General features: G+C 44.6%; 1 long non-coding RNA gene across 2 annotated transcripts in view, besides 1 other annotated feature; it reads right to left on the bottom strand.

Annotated features, from left to right (window-relative positions):
* The window catches only part of LOC105369617 (uncharacterized), a 257,798-nt gene that overhangs the window by 100,266 nt on the left and 134,435 nt on the right, over positions 1 to 23,097 (bottom strand). For both annotated transcript variants that reach the window (NR_188065.1, NR_188066.1), the window contains exons 5-7: positions 9,215 to 9,274; positions 7,884 to 7,981; positions 2,590 to 2,688 (exon numbers count right to left, since the gene is read on the bottom strand). This is a non-coding gene — a long non-coding RNA (uncharacterized LOC105369617). The remainder of the gene's footprint in view (positions 1 to 2,589; positions 2,689 to 7,883; positions 7,982 to 9,214; positions 9,275 to 23,097) is intronic.
* Positions 10,583 to 11,240: an enhancer, noted in NCBI's record as "NANOG-H3K4me1 hESC enhancer chr12:5377405-5378062 (GRCh37/hg19 assembly coordinates)". NCBI's record gives its function as "activates a minimal SCP1, AML or CMV promoter by ChIP-STARR-seq in naive H9 embryonic stem cells {active_cell/tissue: H9 hESC(naive)}" and the evidence as "EXISTENCE:reporter gene assay evidence [ECO:0000049][PMID:30033119]".

The raw sequence follows: 23,097 nt of genomic DNA, 5'->3' as shown, positions 1-23,097 counted from the left end.
TCTTAATTTTTATTTTCCAAGAAATCATTTTAGTGACAGGGACTTAATACATGCTGAAAAGAGTTTGTATAACACAAGCGATATTTAGGAAGATTGATTTGGTGGTCATATGCAGGATGGCTCATGATGAAAGACTGGATAGAGAGTCCCCAGAGGCAATTGCTATGCCCTGACCATGATCTAGGTAGGGCTGGAGCTGGGGCAAGGATAGAAACCATGGATGTCAGATCCAGGGGTAGAAAGACTAAAGAGGACGGTGGATAGGAACAGTGAGAGAAGAGAAGCACTTAAAATGTCTCTGGAATGTTGAGCATAGGTGCCTAGGGGAATGGCGGTCTAGCAACAAAAGCAGGGAAAGGAGAGGAAGTGACCTGGAAGGAAAGTCATATTGAGTTTGAAGTCATCCAGGATATACAATGGCAAAGTCCCACAGGACTGAAAAGTGAGGCTCCTGTACTGGGAATGTGGATTTCACACCAACTAGGGAAATGCAGTAGTTGACACTGGTGAGAGACAGGAGGTGTTACTATGCAAGAGAGTACAGAGAAATGAAAAAACAGATTCTCTGGAAAATTGCTCTGCTGGGGGAGCAAAAGGAAGAAAATACGGACACAGAGAATGCGGGGGAGAAAGGGCGAGAAAGTAGGCAAGAACTAGGAGAGTGTCTTGCTGTAGAAGCCAAGAGGGATGAATGGCAAAGAGTAAAAGGTCAACAGTATCAAATTCTGTGTAGAAAATGGGGCTGGAAAAAGGTTGCTGGACTTGGCCATGGAGGGCCTTGGTGACCTTCAAGAGAGCCCTTTCTGGGCAGAGGAGTGGGGTGGGGCACTGCCGGATGTGAGGGAGAGAGTGGGCGGGAGGAAGCGGAGGTGGCAGGTGCCACCCGTTCTCCAGGGAATTTGGCAGGGTGAGGAGGGAGGGGGCTGGTGGGGCTGTGATCCCAGTGCACAGGAGGAGGCTGGCCCTCCCCTCACTACACATCCAAACCCTTGCCAAGCCAGGTCAAGTCTAGCTGCAGATGACATCTCATTGTCTCTTTTCTATTCCAGCGGCCATCACCTCTTGCCTTGACTCCAGAGCAACCGCAGGGTTTTTCTCTTCCATATCTCTTCACTCTATTGCTTCCTTCATGCTGGGAAAAAAGTCTTCTCCAAGCACTTTTCTGATCCTCGCTTCCATGGTCAGAGACAAAATTAAGCCCAAAGACTCCCCCAACAACACAAGATTCTCCATGCATGGGTCCCCATCTTAGGCTTCAATTCCACTGGGCCGTCCCCTGCCTGGGCATGTCCCTCGCTTCCCATCCCTTCCTGCTCTACCTGCCCTTCCCCTGGGGGAGCCATGCAGCTCCTTGCCTTGATTTCTTGTTGAACCACCCTCCAAAGTCACTCTCTTCTTGTTTGCTTGTTTCATGTTTCCTTTTTTTCTCTTCCTGTGCCTGAAACTGAACTTCAAGAGTTGATTTCTGTCACAAGACATAATGCTTTATCTCTTTTTTAGAATAGGCATTTCCATTTTGTGTTGGGGCATGCTACAGGAAAGGCTGCATCTTTTAGGCAGTGGGTGAGCCCATATTTGTCCTACATGCAAGCCAGAGCTCCCCCAAGACCATGTGTAAATGCCCTCTCCACCATGCAGACCTCCTGGATTTCCAACTTCTTGTTGCTTTAAAACACTTCATAACGTTTTGTTTATAACCATTAAACAGGACTTATTATATTCTCTGTCTCTTTCTCTCTACATATAAAATACACATACACATATAGTGTTTATATCCACAAACACCTGCTGCACACATGTACACACACACACACACACAGCCTTCCTATTGCTCTACGAGCTATTTGAGGGCGGGCTTGTGCCTTACCTATTTTGCATTCTTGTAAACTTACTACAAGTCTATATCCTAAGCACTTAAACTTGAAGTGAATTGCAAAAAACAAGTCCAACCCCAGACTCAGCTGAGAGGGTGTAGACAAGGGCAGGCTCGTGGAAAGATGGAGTTTTCCACTGCCCAGACAGAACGGCTCCACAGTGGGTGGCGGGCCCTCCTCCTCCCCTGAAATCAGACAGACACCCTATTGTCAGTGCCCTCTAGCTCGGCTGGGGGCTGAGGGCGGCTGTCAGTGCCACACAGGTTGGCACCTGGTGATATTTAATTCAGCACCTTATCGCAGGTAGACCGCCTGGTATTGTTCTTTAATTGTTTAATGTGTGGCTGTCTTTTCACTCTAACAAGATTCAACAACAAACATTAACCTTGTCTCTACTCATTGTGTGCCAGGTGCTTCCACATAGTTATATTTAAAACTCACAAAGCCCTGTATGGTGGGCTTTACTAGTGTTACTGTAGTTTTTCAGATGAGCAATTGAGTTTCAGAGTCTGGCGGAAGTTCATGTAACTGATACAGGACAAAGCCAGAATTTGGATGAGCAGAGCCCATTTGCACTTAGTTACAGGTTTTTTTGAGGGCAGGGCAGGGCTTGACCCTCTTCCACCTTCCTGGGGCAGCCCTTCATCCCCACAGGGGCCAGGCTCAGCCCATAGCTTATGACGCACCCTTGGAATTAAGTTGAAGGTGAACGTACCTTCCTTGCTGCTGTGCGCAGAGGATGGAAGCCACCATTCTCTGATTCCTGCTGGTGCTTGGTGCTCAGCTAAGCTCCTACAGTCCAAACAAGCAGCCCCTGCAGGTGGGAGAGCAGAGCTATAAATATGTGCTGCATTGTTCTCCTCATCAGTGCCAAACAACATCAGTGCTCCTTCCCTAGGGAAGCTGATAAATAAATGAGAGATGCCACCAAAACAAAGCCAAGCCCTGCCTTAGGCTGTGCCTGGGAGATTTCAGCTGAATTGTTAAGAGGTGTGAATCTTTTAGCGGCCTTAATGATAGAAGGAACTGGAGACCATGACTAATCTCCACTGGCCACATAATACCCCAGGGCAGTGCCAGGGCCCGAGGGAGGGAGGTGCCCCAAATGCAAGTACCTTCAAGTAGTGTCTAGTGCCAGGACTTGGTGAACGCTGGCACTGCTCACTTCTCCTCCCTTCCCCTCTGTAGCAACACATGTCATCCTCCCAACACCTTATGGAACTGGGTCTATTTTTATTAAAAACATTTAAAAACCCTCATGTTGTAACAGAACTTTGTAATTTACAGGGAACTTCTGAGCAATCTAACAAGGCAGCTGAAAAGGGTATATATTACAAATCTCCCTTTCTAGACCAGTAAACTAAGGCTCAGAGAGAAGAAGTAAGTTGCCTAAGGGGACACACAGCAAGTAAGAGGCCCAACCTGGACCCAAATGCCTGTCTCCTGGCTCCAGGTCCAGGGCTTTTTCTGTTTTTCCATAGCTGTCTCCCTTAGCGGGACCTCCAGAACATATCGGTAAGGTGCATACTACTTGCCACAGTCCACCATGGGGATCGTGTTTGTTTCCTATCTTCTCAGGTGAATAGTGGTTGAAACTGGATAGTCTCTGAAATAAACATTACTCTTCATGTCAATTTACAGCTATGCAGAAGGGGTTTGGGAAAGGAGCTCTTGGCAGGGATTTTGATGCCTCTAGTGAGATTGCCAACAGTCTCAGTTATGTCCGAATGGCTTGGAGTAAAGGAACAGCTACTGTCCAAGCCATTCCTGAAGTTCTGGGAGCCACTTGTAAAAGAGGGAGTCCCCACAGCTTTACAGAAGTTATACTACAGAGTAAAATTTGGGACCCTCAGCAAACTTTTGATGGAATGTAAATATCCCTGCTTTGCGTGTATCAATAAAGGTAGTAAAATCAATCGTGGAATACTTTTCAGAATTGTTTTTGAGATACTGATTGGCACTTGGGCAGTGCTTAGCATGTGCGAAGGCAGGCAGCCTGGCCTGGCTCCCACCCTCTAGGGCATTACATAGGAGACTTAAGGAAAGCTCTGGTCCCCGGGATAGCATCCCTTTCCTAGAGCAAGTGCCGCGAGGTCCTGTATGTCGGTTCCTCTGACTTGCTGCCAGGTGACAATGGGAGGACTTTGGGATCCACAGCCGGGGCAGGACCTGGCCTTGGCTGGCACCTGTGTGAGCTCACCTTGCTGCCTTCACATGTTCAAGAACCTGTGTCACCCGCAGAACCTCATATTCTCCTTGGCCTTAGGCCTCCCAGACCTGGAAGTTGGCGAGAAGCCAGGGTGGGTCTGTGCCACAGGCTGGAGCAGGGCCCGAGCGGTCAATGCTGGGGACTGTGTCTAAGGCCACCTCCCTACATATTGGTAGTGCTTCGCCTTCAGCTTCTCCTCTCCCTGGGGTGGAAATAGGGCCTTCTTCACTCATTCATTCATTTGACTTACATTCATTCATTCACTCTACTTATTCTGTGAGTACTTTTGAGGTACCAGGAATTGTTGTAGATATCAGGAGTACCACAATGAATCAAACAGATAAACACCCCTCCCTGTGGGAATTATGTTCTATTGGGTAAGTCTTTGGTGGAGTATTTAGTGTCTGAATATAAGTAAGGCAACAGTAAGTTACATGATGCTGAGAGTTAAATGGTGTGGGAGATCTTGGGGCCTTTCAGAGAAGAGGATTGTAATTTTCAGTGGAAGTGGCTAGGTTAGGCCTTACAAAGAAGGTGACATTTGAGTAAACACTTGAAAGAAGTGGGGGCGTGAACCCAGCAGGTGTCTGGGGTGAGATTGTTGCATGCAGAGAGGACAGCTGGTGCCAAGGTCTGGTAAGAAGGTTGGTGTGGTGGAATAGAGCGGACAGGAGGGAACAAGGGAGATGAATGGAGGTCAGAGGTCTTGGGAGAGGCTTAGTCCTTTGGGTTGGGTGGACCATTGTCAGGACTTTGGCTTTCCTGCCAGGAAGATAAGGAATCGTTGTGGGGGCCTCCTGACCTAACTTCTGTCTGAACAGATTGCTTTGGAGGCTGCACTGGAAATAGGTGAAAGCAGGGAGGCCAGTTAGAACTTTTTCAGTACTCCAGGCCCGGGGTAATGGGAACTTTGACCAGGGAGGTGGCAGTGTGAGCAGAGAGGTATATCAGAATGGGTGTATTTTGAAGGTAGAGTCAATGACATTTCCTGTAAGAGTGGACGTGGAATGGGAGAGAAAGAATGAGGTCAAGGTGACCCCAAGGTTTTTATGCTGAGCAGTTGCAAGGATAGAACGGCCACCCCTGAGAGACGGAAGGCTGTGAATGAACGTATTAGGGGAGCAGAACCGGAGTTCCAGTTTGCACTTGAGTTTTGAGAAACCACACAGTGCAGCTCGATGACCCTGGGCAAGTCGCTTCCCCCTCAGACCCTCCATCTCTTCTTCTGCAACAAGGAGGTGATATCAGTTCTACCTGCTTCAAAGGAGTATTACGAGGGTGCAAAGCCCTAAGGAGATTAGCGAAGCATGTGGCACATAACGGGATTAAGTAAAGGGTGCCATGGCTCTTTCTCACCTCAGGACCCAGGCAGTGGCAAAGAGCAGCAGTAAACTTTTTCCAGGCTCCTAAAGGCGGAGTCTATGTGTGACTGGGCGAATGCCTCTTTTGAAGTCTTAAAGGTCAGCGCTTTGCCAGCTGCCTGCTGGAGACAAAAGGCAGCACGGTTTTCTCCATTGTTGCTTTTTGTTTCTTCCTCATCTATCTCAAACAGAGGGCCTGAGGCCAAGTGCCTGCCACTGCCGGGACAGTGGAGACTCCCTTGCTGCAGGCAGAGTTAAAACCCCTCTGCACAAAGAGTAGGGGCTTACCCCTGCCACCCTCCCAGGGGGCTCCTGGAAGGGCCGCCTCATGGAAAGAAGCCTGGCTTTGAGGTCACAGACTTGGGTTCCAGGCTTAGCACTAGTTAGTCAGGTGGCCTTGACAAAGTTGCTTACTTTCTTGGGTTTGTTTTCCTCCTCTGTTGAATAGGGTTAATCCAACACATTCTCGGGGTGGTCGGAGCTGTGCTTCATGCCCTGGGTCCATGGGTTTGAATTCTGACTTTTCATTTTCTACCTGTGTGATTATGTATAAATTACTTAAAACCTCTGTGTCTCACTTTCCACATTTCAACCCAGAGATTATAATAGTATATACCTCATATGGTGGTTGTGAGAATTAAGAGAAATAAATACAAATGTGTAACATAGAGTGAAACTTAGTAGGTTCTCAAAAAATATCAGCTATTATTCTTATATAGGGAATACCTAAAAGTGCTTCTAAATACTATTGCACTTTAAGCATATTACATGGTTTTATTATGATTGCCTTGAACTAATGAAGTTCCCAAACCTGTCCCCTGATTCTCAGATCAGAGAGTCACATGTTTTCTATGTTAGTATACAGGAGCATCTGCATCACCAAAATATTAAGTGTTTTTTGGAAGTGGAAGCTCGCATGACATATATTAATGTCAGGGAAAAAATTGCAGTTAATTTTTTCACAGAATAAAAAATACCTCCAAATTTTCTGGGTTTGTACATTGGGTTGTTGTTGTTGCATTACCGAGTTTTCTTAAGGCAAAGCCCACCATCTCTGGCCTATCTCTGTGGGCTGTGATTGCCATGGAGTTAGGCACCATTGTTGCATTACTGAGTTTTCTTAATGCAAAGCCGACCATCTCTGGCCTATCTCCGTGGGCTGTGATTGCCATGGAGTTAGGCACCATTGTTGCATTACTGAGCTTTCTTAATGCAAAGCCCACCATCTCTGGCCTATCTCCATGGGCTGTGATTGCCATGGAGTTAGGCACCACATCTCCCAGGAACTCAGGGTATGTGTGTGAGCTGATGGTTTACAAATGGCATGGGTTCAGACTGAGCATAGAAAACATGTGGGCATGTGTCACAATGAATTTTTAAAAAGACAAAAGAAATATCTGAGAAGCTCCAAGATTTGCAGTGCCGAGAACACACTCCAGCAGCAGTCAGCATGTACTGTAAAACAGTACTCGCTGGTTGCCAACTATGTGTCTTAAGGCCTGATTAATCCATGCTCCAGACAGATGTACATGGCATGCCCCACATAGAAGGCTGCCAAACACAGCAGCCCCTCTGCTTGTTCAATTTGTTCCTCAACTACTGGGTTCCTAGTTTATACCAGGCCCTGTGGTTGACCTAGCCCATAGGTGGGCTCACCGTGTGTGTCTGTTCCTGTAGGTACGTTTCTTTTCTCTCATGTAGAACTGGACTCTGCTTCCATATCCCGCTGGGGCCAATTGTTTACATTGCCTAAACCCTCCAAACCTCAATTTCCCCATGAACAGCCTCAGAGTCATACCACTCATTCCTCAGGGCGGTTAGAAGGATATGGATGAGTTTGTAAATAAGTGACAGTCATGGGAAGGTATTGCTGCCCTGACCTTGCCTATGCCCTTCTGTCTTTCTGCATCTAGGTCTCTGGTCTGCAACACAATAGTCAATAGCTTTCTGTCATCTAGAGCATAAAGAAGATTAATGAGCACCAAGAGGCCAAGGATACTCTTTGCTCCTTTTTTCAAACTCCCTATTCAGCTCTATGGCTGTTTGGGAAAAATGGATCACCAGGGACATTTAGAAAAGAGAGCAGACACCTACCACTCAACTTCTCAGTCACACTGATGGGCTCCTGTTGTGATTTATTGGATATGGCACTGGACACTGGGTCCTGACTCAGTCTATACCATTAATTTATTTAGCCTTGGGCAAGTCACTTCTCTTTCTTTGAGTTCAATTTTTCTTCTTTGTAAAACAAGAGGTTGTATTAAGAAATCTCTAAGGTCCCTGCCAGCTAAAATATCCCATTATTGAATTGCATATTTCTGTCATTTGATTGACAAACATAAAATATTTAGTCAATTTACTCAAAATAGTAAGATACATTTGTTATTAATTAAAATAATACAATCCGTTGATATGCCTTAGTCTCCTGGGTCTATGTACCTAAGCATTTCTGGAATCCTCTTCAAAGAAGAGCAACCTGGAGTTGGATTCTTCATCAGCCACAGGAAATCTTCCAATGGCCTGACTCACCTCCATGCCTGTGGGTTCAAGAACCAAGAAATGGTCAGATGCAGTGGCTCACACCTGTAATCCCAGCACTTTGGGAGGCCGAAGCGGGTGGATCATGAGGTCAGGAGATCAAGACCATCCTGGCTAACATGGTGAAAGCCCGTCTCTACTAAAAATACAAAAAAAAAAAAAAAAAAAAAAAAAATTAGCCAGGTGTGGTGGCGGGTGCCTGTAGTCTCAGCTACTTGGGAGGCTGAAGCAGGAGAACGGCATGAACCTGGGAGGCGGAGCTTGCAGTGAGCCAAGATCACACCACTGCACTCCAGCCTGGGCGACAGAGCGAGACTCCATCTCTAAAAAAAAAGAAGAAGGATTTTACATAATGATTGGGAATGGGAAAGCTGAGGAAGTTAGTAAATCCAAGGACCAACCATTTGAAGGAGAAGCTATGGCGAAACGCACATTGTATCTTGGATGGCACTCCCAAAGTTCCGGGGTCTTCAAGGAGGTGAAAAAAATCCACAAGGAGGAGGATGAAATGTAAGAGGAGAGGAAGACCTTTGCTTTCATTCGGTTCTATGCCCTTTTTACTGAGGCCCAGAGAGAGGAAGTGATGTGCCTAAGGTCACCTGATGATTAAGTGTGTTTTCCTGGAACTCAGGCCTGCCTATTTCTACTTTCTCTCTCCTTTTAGCTGTTTCTCAAGAGAAGGTGGCCTCTTTCCATTTTGAAAGAAGCAGCAAGATCTGAGAAACATTCAGTACAGTGTTACACTGCATTTTGTTGTCATTAGCAAATCCATTTCTCTGGTTAGCTTCTTTCTGTCATGAAATGAAGGCCAACTGTCCTATGTCTACACCTATTTAATTCTTAAAGCCGTGGCAGGGTCATTTCAATAGTCTGGTTTAGTTATCTGATTAGACTCTCCAGCAATGTGTACGATACTCTGTTTATATTTGTTGGGAAGCTATAGCCTGAATACATATCTTCTTAAGTGCCTCTGTTCATATACACATATACACACATGTGCACGCATATACTTACTCAGGATGTATGTGTGTGCACATGATGCCTGTGGAAGATGGTGTGAGTTTGTGGATTTCATAGCATGGCAATGGTTGTAAGAATTGCTCATCTTCCCAAAGGCAGGGCTCTGGACCCGAAGACCATTTTGGATGCTCTCTAGCTCTAAGAGTTATAGTTTGTGATTTTGTGTTCACTGAGGAATTATTGAAAACTTCCAGTTCTCTAAAAGCACATACCTGCTTGCTTCCTCAAAGAGAAGAGACCAGATCCAAGCCATTTGATTCTTGATGATTACCCTGTGGGTGGAAATGAGAGAAGCAATGTAGGTCCTCAAAGATGGAGCTTGCAGGGGGAGAGAGCTTTGGGGTTCAGGAGCCTCCAGAGCCCATAGACCTGTCTCTGTGCTCCAGTGCCACACCTGGGCAAAGCAGTGCCATAAGCAAGAGGGCGGGGTCTTCCTTGATTGCCATCTGGACTATGTCCTCGCATGCATTTACTCCCTATTAACCATGTGAGAGGCAGAGTTGTATTAGGTTCTGGAGCACCAAGATAATAAGTAAGGCATGGCTTTCACTGTTGCACAGTCCATCTATAACAGGGACAACAAGCACATTTTTTAAGAAGTATAATCCAAACATGGTGAAACCCCGGGTTTACTGAAAATACAAATATTAGCCCGGTATGGTGGCATGCGCCTGAAATTCCAGCTACTTAAGAGGCTGAGGTGAGAGAATTTCTTGAACCTGGGAGGCGGAGGTTGCAATGAGCCAAGATTGTACCACTGGACTCTACCCTGGGCGGCAGAAGAGAAACTCTGCCTCAAAAAAAAAAAAAAAAGTATAATCCAGTATGCTCAATGTCCTCCTAGAATATAGCTATATAAAAGTACTGTGGGAAGACAGGATAGAATATAGCTATTTAAAAGTACTGTGGGAAGACAGGAAAATAATTCTTCCTTGGAGGAATTTTTCTCCAACACTGGCATAGGGTCCGCTAGATTGAGGTAAAATATCCTTTGAGTGCCTTCTATGTGTTTACCACTGTGCTGTGTTATGAGCTGGGAGAGAATGAAAGAAAGAACCCATTCTGAAGAGGAAAAGGATATCCAGGAAGCAGAGCCCAAGTTTCCTAATTCCCTCTCATTTATCCATTCAACATTCACTAAGCACAAACACTGTTTCACCCGACAACTGGACTCTGAGCATATGAAGATAAGTGAGAGAGGTCCCTGCCCAGTTCCACTCAGAGGATCCATCCTCAGGCCAGCTGCAGGTGTCCATGGGGGAGTCTGTTCTCAGCCAGCATCATAGTTGTTCAGAGAACCCACCTGCCCTGAGCACATCCCACTGCAGAGCCTCGCCTTGGGTGGCGCATTCTCTTTGGTTCACTTTGATGGCAGATTTGTCCATGGGTCTGGTCCTGGGGGCCCAGATGCGATGAGTTCTGTTGTCATTGCTCCTGGCTCCTGACCTCATTCACATCTCACTCTCCCTCTGCCTCAAGCAGTAACTTTGGGCACCTGGTGTCATACACGCTTTGCCTCTCAGAGCCGGCTGTTTGTAGGGCCTCCTTGTGCTTTGTGGTAAGTGCTGTATTAGAGCCAGAGGAGGCTGTCCTATAACAGGTCCACCTGTGGCTGGGATGGTGAAGACCTTTCCCTTCCCTTCTCTCTGCAGCCAATTAGGTGTGGCTCTGGAGGGCTCCCTGTTGTGAGCCTGGTTGGAGATGGGGGTGGAGAGCACAGGAAGGTGCATTGTGCTCTATTTTGGGTCTCCTGGAGCTTAAGTGGTTTCCTAGAATTGCCAGCAGAATGCAATTCATTAGAAGTCAAATTGTGAAAGTTGAATGGGTGCTCGGAAATGTCCTATCTTATAGGGTCCTATAATAACAAACTAGTACTTTCACATTATGTGACTCTAGAGGGCTAAGATTGGGTTTCTCTCAACCTAGTACACAAACCAAAGTTCCCTTGGTTACAAAAGGAAAAACAGTGGGCCTTTCATTACTCACATTTCAATTTATCTCCTGGAGATCTTGGGGAGGGGCAGTAGTTTACTTGTTTATGCTTGTTCCAAGCTGCAGCTTGTGGCCCAGAGAGAGTAGCAAGAGACAGCGTAAAGCCTCCCTTTTCCACCAGAACCCTTAATTAGAACACCCTAGCCTCCTCTAAGGTGTGGCTTAGAGGTATGAACTCGCCAGACAGTGAGTTAATGAGGACGGGGAAAGTTCTGCTTTTCCAGTGGGGCCGACCCAGGAGCCCATGGGTAGGGGATGATTGAAAGAACTACACTGCTTTCCTGGGCTCTGTAGGCTCAGTGTCAAGTGCAATGATTCAAAACAAACCCTACACATGCCGGATGGTCCAGTGCACAAATAGGACCTTCACAATAGTAAAATAGCCCCATGTATTTTAATGGCATTTTGCAACTTACAAGGAATTTTCATGTATTATCTCATCTGAGCCATGGAAACCCCAGAAAGAAAATAGTATTCTCATTTTACAGATGAAGAAACTAAATCCAGAAAAATTCAAATAATTTCCCAATGTTTATATACTCACTCAGTGATTAGCCATGACTTAGCCTTAAGTCATCAGACTCATTAAGACCCTCTCGCTCCACATCTATTCCTGACCCAAATAGGAACAATTTTTCTATTGTTAGCTTTTTGAGATTCTATTAGGTTGGTGCAAAAATAATTGCGGTTTTTGCCATTAGTTTTTTTTTTTTAATTTTTATTTTTATTTTAAGTTCTGGGGCACATGTGCAGAGTGTGCAGGTTTGTTACATACTTAAACATGTGCCATGGTGGTTTGCTGCACCTATCAACCTGTCACGTAGGTATTAAGCCCCGCATGCATCAGTTATTTTTCCTAATGCTCTCCTTCCCCCAGCCCACTCCCCGACAGGCCCCAGTGTGTGTTGTTCCCCTTCCCGTATCCATGTGTTCTCATTGTTCAGCTCCCACTTATAAGTGAGAACAGGCAGTGTCTTGTTTTCTGTTCCTGCATTAGTTTGCTGGGGATGACGGCTTCCAGCTCCATCCATGTCCCTGCAAAGAACATGATCTCATTCTTTTTTATGGCTGCATAGTATTCCATGGTGTATATGTACCACATTTTCTTTATCCAGTCTGTTATTGATGGGCATTTGGGTTGATTCCATGTCTTTGCTATTGTGAATAGTGCTGCAATAAACATACGTGTGCATGTGTGTATCTTTGTAATAGAATGATTTATATTCCTTCGAGTGTATACCCAGTAAAGGGATTGCTGGGCCAAATGGTATTTCTGGTTCTAGATTTTTGAGGAATTGCCACACCATCTTCCACAATGGTTGAACTAATTTATATTCCCACCAACAGTGTAAAAGCATTCTTATTTCTCCACAACCTCACAGCATCTGTCGTTGCTCGACTTTTTAATAATTACCATTCTCACTGGTGGGAGATGGTATCTCATTGTGGTTTTGATTTGCATTCCCCTAATGATCAGTGATGTGGAGGTTTTTTTCATCTTTGTTGGCTGCGTGAATGTCTTCTTTTGAGAAGTGTTTGTTTATGTTCTTTGCCCACTTTTTAATGGGATTGTTTTGTTTTTAATGGGTTTGTTTGTTTTTTTCTTGTTTATTCTTAATTTGCTGATAATTTTTAATCTCAATTGGATATTATATTTTGTCTAATGCTTTTTCCATATCTACTGAGATGATCATGTGATATTTGTCCTTCCTGTTTTAGGTTGATTTTCAGATCTGAAATTAATTTTGCTTTCCTGGGATAAATTTTTGATAAATCTGGGATACTTCATCTTGGTGTATAATTCATTTTATATGTTGCTGGATTTAATTTGATAATATTGTGTTAGTAATTACTATGTCTGTGTTCATGAAGGCTATTTGTCTATACTTTCTTTTTCTTGTGATGTCTTTGTTTGGCTTTGGTATTAAGGTAATACTGGTCTCATAGAATGAGTTGGGAAGTGTTCCCTCCTTTACTTCCTAAACAACTTTGCAAAGGACTAGCAATGCTTCTTTAAATGTTAGAGAGAATTCACCAGTGAAGCTATCTGGGCCTAGATTTGTCTTTGTGGGAAGATTTTTAATTACTAATTTACTTCATTTGTTTGTTACATGCCTACTCAAATTTTGCTTGAGCAAAATGTTTCTTATAAGTAGCAGTAAAAGGGAGGCAATGATAGCTTTTATCACTTGAAGAAGTTAAAAATAAGATTGTACTCTAAGAGTTCAATCACTAACCAGCAGAAAATGAATCAGAATTGAGCAGATTTCTCATGCTCAGTGCTATTGACATTTTAGGCTGGGTAATTTTTTGTTGCGGGTCTGTCCTGTGTATTGCAGAATTGTTAGTAGCATCCCTGGCCTGTACTCACTAGCAGAAAGCAGCACTCCCATCAACAATTCCCCCCAAACTGTGACAACAAAAAATGTCTCTAGACCCTGCCAACATTCCTCTGGGGGGAAAATTGTCCTCGGTTGAGAAGCCCTAGAATAGAGAAATATCAAATTAAAAAGAAAGACTTTAGAACTTACAAATCTTAACTTTAACTAAATATCTAAACCTGTCTAAAAATAAAGAGAGGGAGGGCAGAGGGGACAACTTGTGAAGTGCCCATCCAAGTATATGCCAGCGTGCCTTTTTGTCCCTTCAAACAGTAAGAAAGTTAAACCCTTCTGGAAGGCATGGCCATAGCTGCATGCATTTGGGCATTCTATGTTCCTGACGCCCCTCATTCTTGATTTTTTTCACCAAATAACCCTCTAATTATCCACTGTTGCCCCATATAGCTTTTCCACTATGAGATGCTTCACTGGCCAGAAGATGGGAACACACATCTTGTCCACCTAACAGCAACATTTTTCTTGGTATAAGAGTGAATTGATATTGTAATTTATCTATCATTTTCTGTGAGTTTGGTTAACATAAGTCATTATCACCTACTCTGACCTATGCTGGGATCTCAATGAAGACTAAAGTTTTGAGTCTTTACAATTGAATGAGTTTAACAAGATGACAACATACCTGTGAAAGCTCTTAGAAGCCAACCAGCCCTCTTCGTCTGGTTATCTACCATTGTACATCACACCATTCCAGAACTTAGTGGCTTAAGTCAACAATCGTTTTGCTATTCCCAGTTCTCTAGATGAGAAATTCTGGCAGGGCTCAGAGGGACACATGATATCACTGGATTCACTCATGTCTGGAACCACATTGCTGCTGGGAGCCTGGGGTGCTTCGTGCTCTTCCACTTGGTCTCTATCTCTAACAGGATAGTCTGACTTCTGTGGCATTGCACGGCTCTAAGAGTACAAAAGTAGAAGCTTCCAAGTTTCTTAAGGCCTTCCTTGGTCTTGAAGTGATACACAATCACTTCAGTTGCATGCTGTTAATCACAGCAAGTCACTGGTTCAGCTTGGATCTAGTGACAGGGGTAACACACCTCAAATCATGATGGAAATACTGGCAAAGTCACATTTCAAAAGTGCATGTGAGATTGGAAGGAATATTGTGGCCATGGGAGACGATGTACCACAGTGGCACAAAATAATCTCCGTAAGATTCACGGAAAAATCTATGAAGTTTTTAAGAGAAGTGTATTCAAGAAAGCCCCACCAGTTTGTATTTTAGGACAGAGGCCATCAAAAATAAAGAGGTCTCTGGGCCTCCAGCTTTCTTTGGGAAGAAAGCAGGCTAAGAAAGCTGCTCCGCTGAGGACACAGTCCATTTCTTATAGAAAATGAAAAGTATTTCAAAGAGCAAAGTCCAGAGAGCAAATCTAAGACCTGAGGAAAACAATAAATTGGGGAACCATTTCCAGAGAGCAGAAATGGACTCTAATTAAGGAATGTTGATTGATCCTGGAGTCAAGGGAGCTGACAGTATAGGCCTGGATTTCAGGATTGCTCTGAATCAGCGAATGCTTTGTGCTTCTCAACATCCCCTTGAAGGGAGTGTTCGTGTCATACCCTTGCATGTTGTGTGTGGTGGGCAGGCAATTTGTCCTTTTAGTTCACAGATCTCTATAGGAGTCTCATCCACATTTGGACCTGCCAGAAGTCCCATCAGTAGGTGAGGTCTCTTTCCTCTCCCCCTTGAATCTGGGCCAGTCTAGTTGTTGTTTTGACTGATAGAATATGGTGGAAATTGTGCCATGTGACTTCTATACCTAGAGCTTATGAGGTCTGACAGCTTTCACTTTTGTACTTTTGGAACCTCGACCGCCAAGTGAGGAAGTCCAGCCTAATCTACTGGGAAGAGAGACTGAGTGGAAGAGCATAAAGATGTCCTGGCAGACTGCCAGCATCATGTGCTCACATATGTGACTAAGGACATCTTGGATCCTCTAATCCCAGTGACACCCAGTCCACACCACACTGGACAGAGTTAGGACATTCTGGCTGAGCCTTGTCCCAACTGCAGATCTGCAAAATCATGAGCAAATTAAATGGTTGTTATATTAAGCCAATATATTTTGGGACAGTTTGTTACATAAAAAAGAAAAAAAAAACCTTGAAATACTTCCCATTCCCACAATATTCCTTTTCTTTCTTTATTTATTTAAAAAAAAAGTTTTAGAGACAGGGTCTCACTCTGTCATCAGGCTGGAGTGCAGTGGCACCATCATAGCTCACTGTAACCTTGAACTCCTGGGCTCAAGCAATCTTCTTGTCTCAGCCTCCCAAGCAGCTGGGACCACAGGCACACAACACGGAACCCAGCTGATGTTTTTGTAGAGAAGGGGTCTTGTTATGCTGCCCAGATTGACCTCAAGTAATCCTTCCACCTCAGCCTTCCAAAATGCTGAGATTACAGGTGTGAGCCACTGCACCTGACCCCAATATGCCTTTTTAAAAAAATGTTTTACGCATTTCCTTTTCTCCCTGAATATTTTAAAGAAGTGCTTGAAACTTGCAACTTCAAAGCAAGGTATAGGATATTCCACTGCTAAAACAATGGCATAAATATCAGAAACAGTGACATGAAGGGACACCCTGATCCTACTAATGCAACAACCAAAACTCAGTAGACAAGTACAACCAAAGACCTATAGCCTAGAGTAGACTCAGACAGGCATGGGAGCTACCACTGTAGACCTCCAGGGCTTAGGACCCTTCTCTCCCTCTCTACTCTCCATCAGGAAAATGCTAAGTCACAGTAATTCTCGGGGACTCACTCTTATTCTTCCACCACATCCCGCTCAATCCCAGAAATTACTCCCTAACTTGGGCACCATCATCTGTGTCCTGCCTGCTTCTGCTTGCAGTGTGCTGTGGAAACTGTTGCAGTCCCCAGGATCTCAGCCCACAGGGAAGAAAGCAGACCACCAGCTGTCTCTTGGCTTTGAGAAAAGTCACTGATTGTGGCTCTCTGCTTACAGATGAATTTTGGGTTGCCTTTAACCTCTGTGGTTGCCTCTAATAAATCAACTGTCAGGCATTGTGCCCTGACGTGCACTGGTCTCCCAGATTGCCGAGACCTAATACAGGCTCTGATTTTCTGTGGTGGGATCTATTCCATGGCAAGAGTGGGGGAAAAGGGGAGATGTGAAGAAGTTTGAGTTGTTGTAGGTTTCAGGGCAGCAGATACATTGAGTGGCCTGCTTATTTTGTCTTGGGACACAGAGGCGATGGAGGGCTTCTGTTTCTCAGACTTAATATCTACATTTTACACAGGGTTGAAAATAGCCTTACTTGACATAAACTAAAGTTCAAACAAGGAGCCAGGCAGCAACAATTCTGGGAATTTTTCCTAAGCTGTGCAGACACAGAATGACTTCTTTTGGAATTTGATGAGAAATAGAGGAACTAGAAACCAATGGTATGAAAATATCACCAACCCTGAAGATTAATGCTGCAACAGAGCTGTCATCCTCTGAGAATCTGTAGAACTGGGCTTGAATCCCAGCTTGGCCACTAACCTCAGCTGGGCTCTCTGCATTTCTTGATGATCCCTTTATACCCAGTGACTTCTCTCCTTAAGTCCATTACTAGACCCCACTCCACACTTGCAGCACCGCAAACTTGATTCTACTTTCTTAAAAAATGAAGCCCTTGAGAATAAAATCTTCAACTTCCTACCCCCTCCACTACCACACTCCTTCAAATTTATCAACTCTTTCTTTATGTTCAGCTTCTCACCTTTGGGGTCGGTAGACGAGGTGTCCCTTTTTGGTTCCCAGTTCCCTAGTGCTTGTGGCTCTTGATGCCATCCTTCCCTGCTCCCGTAGAAATTTATTTCAACAACTGCCTCCTTCTTTACTGTGTCTACAACCTTTTATTCTCTCCTGGCTCTTTGCCCTCTGCTAACAAACATGCCTAAGTCTCTCCCCTCTTCATAAAATCCCTCTGTTGACTCTAAGTCCTCTTCCAACCAACAACCAGTCTCTCATCTTCCTGAAAAAAATCTTGTTTCTGGAATAGATGCCTACACTCATTGTCTCCACCACTTCACAACCTAATGACTCCTCAACCCACTTTCAGTCTGATCTTCCTCACTGGTCCATTTAGGTGGCCCTCGTCAAGGTCAATATGGGGCCAGGCTCATTCTGCCACACCCGTTATGTTTGTCAGCCCTTTGTTCTCAGAAATCGTTTCTGCATTTAACATTGTGATCAAGGATATCTACTCACTTGCTGTCTGTGGGACTTCTCTTTTGGTTTGGCTTGTACCTCTCCAGTGATCTCTCTTTGTTCATAGAAGACACCTCAACCTCCCCCTTAAATATGCTCTCCTCAAAAATAAGGACTTCATCCATTATTATTCTTTCGGTAAATTTTTTTTTTTTTTTTTTTTTTTTTTTTTGAGATGGAGTCTCGCTCTGTCGCCCAGGCTGGAGTGCAGTGGCACGATCTTGGCTCACTGCAAGCTCCAACTCCTGGGTTCATGCCATTCTCCTGCCTCAGCCTCCCAAGTGGCTGGGACTTCAGGTGCCCGCCACCGCATCTGGCTAATTTTTTGTATTTTTAGTAGAGATGGGGTTTCACCGTGTTAGCCAGGATGGTCTCGATCTGACCTCGTGATCCACCCGTCTCCGCCTCCCAAAGTGCTGGGATTACAGGTGTGAGCCACCGTGCCCAGCCGGTAAATGTTTTTTGAAAGGTCTTACTAACTCCCTGTATTAAGGACTCCATGCATGTTGAGATCATTCTCTCCAGCCCTAATCTCTTTTCGGAGAGCACTCTTGCCCTCCAGCTGCCTCTGGTCATAGCAGAACTATCCTTTCTCCCTGACTTTCTCATCCTGTTTCTTGTTCCTCTATCATCCCACTTTCTCAACCCATAATTCTACCATCCATCTTGTCACCCATGTGAGAAACTCGAAATCATCCTATACTCCTTTTTCTTCCCCATCCTCCACATCTAATCAAGTCCAGCTTACTTTGCCTCTTAAAGGGCTTTCAAATCTGTCCCTCTTCTCTCCACTTCTGCTTCAGCTGCCCTCATTCAGATCCTCATGAGGTCTTACACAGCTCATTGACATCAGCTACCTTTTGAAATCCTTCTTTCCATATTAGTCCTTCAAAATCCACTCCCCAAATGAAAGCAGAATGTTCCAATTAAATGTAAACATGTTACTCCCCTGCTTAACCTTCAATGACTCTCTGTTATCTATAAAAATAACTCCAATCTCTTTGCCAAGGCATAAAAGGCTTATCTAATCTCATCTCCTGACACTCCCCATTCTTGTGCTATGTGTTCCCATGTTGTCAGACTGCTGGTGATTCCCCCATACTCACCTTTGTCTTGCACACCTGTGCTTTTGCACCGAATGAGATCTTTTTCCCTTTGACTGCCTGGCTAACTCATTCTCCTCCAGAAGAAAATTCAAGCTTCATCTTCTCTGAGACATTTCCTCCAAATCTGCAGGTTGGACTCAGTGGTCTCCTCTGCCCTCACAGTCTCTCAGTGTTAATATCTGCCTCTCTCTCTCACTTACTTTCCCTGCCACCTTATATCTACCTGTTTCGTGGATGTGTTTGTCTCTCTCACAATATGATAGGCTGCTTAAGAACAGGGACTAATTCATCATTGTAGTCTAGTAATGAGCATATGGTCTAGGCACAGGAGGCACTTGATAGATGTTTAAATGGAACAGAACTATCTGAGTGACCCTTAGACAGTCTCCTCCCCTACCCGGGCCTCCGATTCTTCATCTGTAAATGAGAAGGGCTGAATTACATGTTCTCCATTAAAAGGTTTCTTTCTTCTATAACATCCTGTGGTTTTGTGTGATTCTGAGCAGGGAAGTGTTGGCAGGGCAGAGTTGTCTAAATGCCTTCTTTTTTAGCCTACGGCTTCTGTAGTAAATTTTTTAAAAAGCAGATTTAAAAATAGAACATAAAATAGCTGACACTTGCCATGTGCTGCTTGGTGTAGGCACTGCTGAAGACCCTTTGAATGTAATAACTTATTTGATATTCATACCTACCCTATGAGAGGGTATTATTGTTATCCTCCTTTTCATTTGGGGAAACTGAGGTACAGGGTAACCTTACTAAGGTTACCTGAGTAGAAAAAGGCAGAGTGCAGGCCTGAATGTCTGGCATGAGAGCCTGCACTCATAACAATTAAACTATAATACATATATAGACACATAGATTCAGAGATGCACAGACAGATTGATTGCCATGACTAAGAGAGAAGGGGAGTTACAAACCCCCTCCTCCCTCTGTTACTCACTCTCTGATGCCCACGTGGAGCCTGACTTAGCTCAGCACCTGGAAAAGCAGTTGCCTAGTGGTATTTAAGCCACCCGTAGCCTTCTAGGCATCGTGTTGGCAAAAAAAGGAAGAGTTTGTAAAATTGGACTTTACAAGGAGTCTTTGGGCATAATGAATTCCTCCTGCATTTGTCATCATAGTGCTAATTAGGCTACATTTTGTGGGCTTTAAAGTGGCTCTGGCCAGAATTTCCTAGATATTTTATCGTAATTTAGCATTAGTCAGGCTTGAGTTAATGGACACAGGTGGCTTTATTCACCCCGGTTTGGGCCTCGTCATTGCTATTACATCTTTTGATATTCATCCTCGTGACACTAATCAGCAAGTATTGATTTAGACATTGTACATTTCCATAGGAATTCCATTTTAATTCAACATTAGAGTGCCATTAAAATGTAAAGGAAAGGGCACATGAAAGTCACCTTAAAGCACTGCTGTCTTAGGAAATCTGCTGGGTTTAACCATTCTGCCATCTCCACTTGGGGTAGGACAAACGCCCAGGCACGAGGGAGGGAGTAGCCTTCCTTTTGATTCATCCTGAGGGCCGGTAGCTGCTTTATGGCCCATTGGCCAGCGTTTGGAGAGTGGTGATGACAGTGGCTTGGGATGTGGGGGGGACACATTCTTTTGTCTCTGCCCACTGAGGATTCTGGTGGAGCCGGCATCCGCTCACAGCATCCTCACAGCAAGACAGCAGTGGGGAAGGAGGGGGTTGATAGGGGAATGGATAAGTAAGTCCAGCCTGATAGTTGGACAGAGAGAATGGAGTGGGGATGCAAATGCTTTCTCATCTGGAATCTTCCCTGCCCCCAAAAGTAAGGAATCTCAAGGAGGTTCATGGGATTCAACTGTGTCTTAAAAGTCCTGTGTTTCCTCTCTATTCTCTCTCTGTAAAACTGTATTAGTCAGGATTCTCTAGAGAAACAGAACTAACAGGGTGTGTGTGTGTGTATGTGTGTGTGTTAAGATATTTATTATAAGGAAATTACTCATGTGGTTATGGAGGTTGAGAAATCCCAATATCTGTAGCTGGCAAGCTGGAGTGTCAGAAGAGCCAATGGTGTAAGTTCCAGTCTGAAAACCCGGGCTCAACAACCAGGAAGAGCCAATGCTTCAGTTTGAGTCCAAAGGCGGGAAAAGGCTGACATCTCAGCTCAAGCAGTCAGGCAGGAGGAGGTCCCTCTTACTCACAAGTAGGTCGGTGTTTTTGTTCTATTCAGGCCTTCAGTTGATTGGATGAGGATGCCTACATTGGGGAGGGCAATCTGCTCTACTCAGTCCACTAATTCAAATGCTCATCTCATCCAGAAACACCCTCATAGTCACACCCAGAATCATTTTTGACCAGATATCTGGGGACACTGTGACCCAGTGAGGTTTACCCATAAAATGAACAATCACAGAGACCAACAGACAGGCTTTCTTGGCTTGTTTACCCCTTCTATGTCCTCATATCCTTGGCTTGCCCAGATCATATTGTCAGCACGCTTCCCTTTCCATGAGGTATTCTCCCCTGGGCTCAGGAATGTTAAACATTGCTGTCAGAAACCAGAAGCTAGCAGGGAGGTAAGAAACAGATTTTCCCTCAAAGCCTCCAAAAAGGAACCAACCCTGCACACACCTTGATTTCAGATGTCTGACCTCCAGAGCTGGGAGAGAATAAATTTCTATGGTTTTAAGCCACCTGGCTTGGGGTACTTTGTCTTGGCAGCCCTAGGAAACTGATGTACATGCTGAGGCAAGACACACATCTCACCTCCCTTCCCCTGGGAATAAGGTTCCCTGTTGCCTACAGGCTTAGGTCCAAACTCCCTGGCAGCCCCACCAGGCAGCTCTATGGGCTGTGCCCTGCGCACTCCTCCAGTGCAGCCTCCTGTGTCACCTACTCCTGCACAGCCCACAACACACACAGCATATTCTATCATTTTCCTGAAGTTGCCAAACTACCTTACCCCTTTGCACATGATGTGCTGAAATTCTCTTCCCTTCCTTGTCCTTATGGAAAACCAACCATGTCCTCTTAGGAGCCTTCCTCAGTCCACCCAGAGCAGAGCCTATTGTTCCATCTCTGTGCTGCCTCGTTACCTTTTCCCTGCTTAAACACTCTTCTGTTACAGCTCTCATTGCACTGAGTAGCAACTATAATTATATACCTGTCTTGTTCAATTGCCTGACTTCCCCACAGGCTCTCAACAAACACTTTTTTATATATACTTTAATTTCAATAGCTTTAGGGGCACAAGTGGTTTTTGGTTACACAGACGAATTGTGTGGTGGTGAGGCCTGAGATTTTAGTGCAGCCGTCACCCGGGTAGTGTATATCCTACTCTACATGTAGTTTTTTATTCCTCATTCTCCTTCCTACCCTCCCCCTTCTGAGTCTCCAATGTCCATTATACCACTCTGTATGCCTTTGCATACCCATAGCTTAGCTTCCACTTATAAGTGAGAACATATGGTATTTGGTTTTCCATTCCTGAGTTACCTCACTTAGAATAATGGCTTCCAGCTCCATTCAAGTTGTGGCAAAACACTTTATTTTATTTTATTTTTTTATGGCTGAGTAGTATTCTATGGTGTATATATACTACATTTTCTTTATCCAGTCTTTGGTTGATTGACACTTAGGTTGGTTCCATATCTAGCAAACACCTCTTTACAGGAGGTTGATTGGTTGAGAGGATCAAAATGGAGCCTTATTTATCTCTGAGTCCCTTGAGCCTAGCACAATGCCCAGAATGTAGTAAATGCTCAATGAAAGTTTGTGAAGTGAGTGAGAGTAGGGCCAGCTCTTTGAGGAGCAGCTGTGTTTAAGAGGTAAGGAACCAGAGACGGACAGAGGGAGGCAGCTCTTCCCTGCATGCGCTTCTTTGCCTAGGGTCTAGATAGACTACCTTCTTCCTTCATTGTCCACTTGTTCCCCTGTGTCTGGCACATGGTGGGCATTCAATATAGAATTGCTGCAGAAAAGAAGGAAGGAACAGAGGGGAAGTTGTAGTAGCAGGAAAATATCTTGCTATGGATGCCAAAAAAGGAGGACACAGCTTTACCTGGAGCTTCACCATCCATTCTTTATGGGTCCTTAAGACAGATCTGATGATGGACAAATAGGATGAGCATTTAGTATTCTCCCCAGGAGTCTACAAATCTCCAGGGCAGCTGTCTATGCAGACCCTCAGGCTCATTTAAATTTCTCTTGGAAAGAATAATCATGGAATTACAAAATTTTGGAGTTAAAAGATCCATTATGGAATATCTAGGCTTAAGGATTCATAATTTTAGAATTATAAGGAAGGTTGGAGTTTATTTAGTTTCTGCTGCATCTGTGTCTTGCTTATGTTAAGGAGGAAACTGAGGCCCAGAAAGGGAAGGTGGCTTACTAAAG

The sequence above is a fragment of the Homo sapiens genome, chromosome 12 (assembly GCF_000001405.40).
Source record: "Homo sapiens chromosome 12, GRCh38.p14 Primary Assembly".
Taxonomy (NCBI): Eukaryota; Metazoa; Chordata; class Mammalia; order Primates; family Hominidae; genus Homo; species Homo sapiens.
This window is presented reverse-complemented; position numbering and strand designations above follow the sequence as displayed.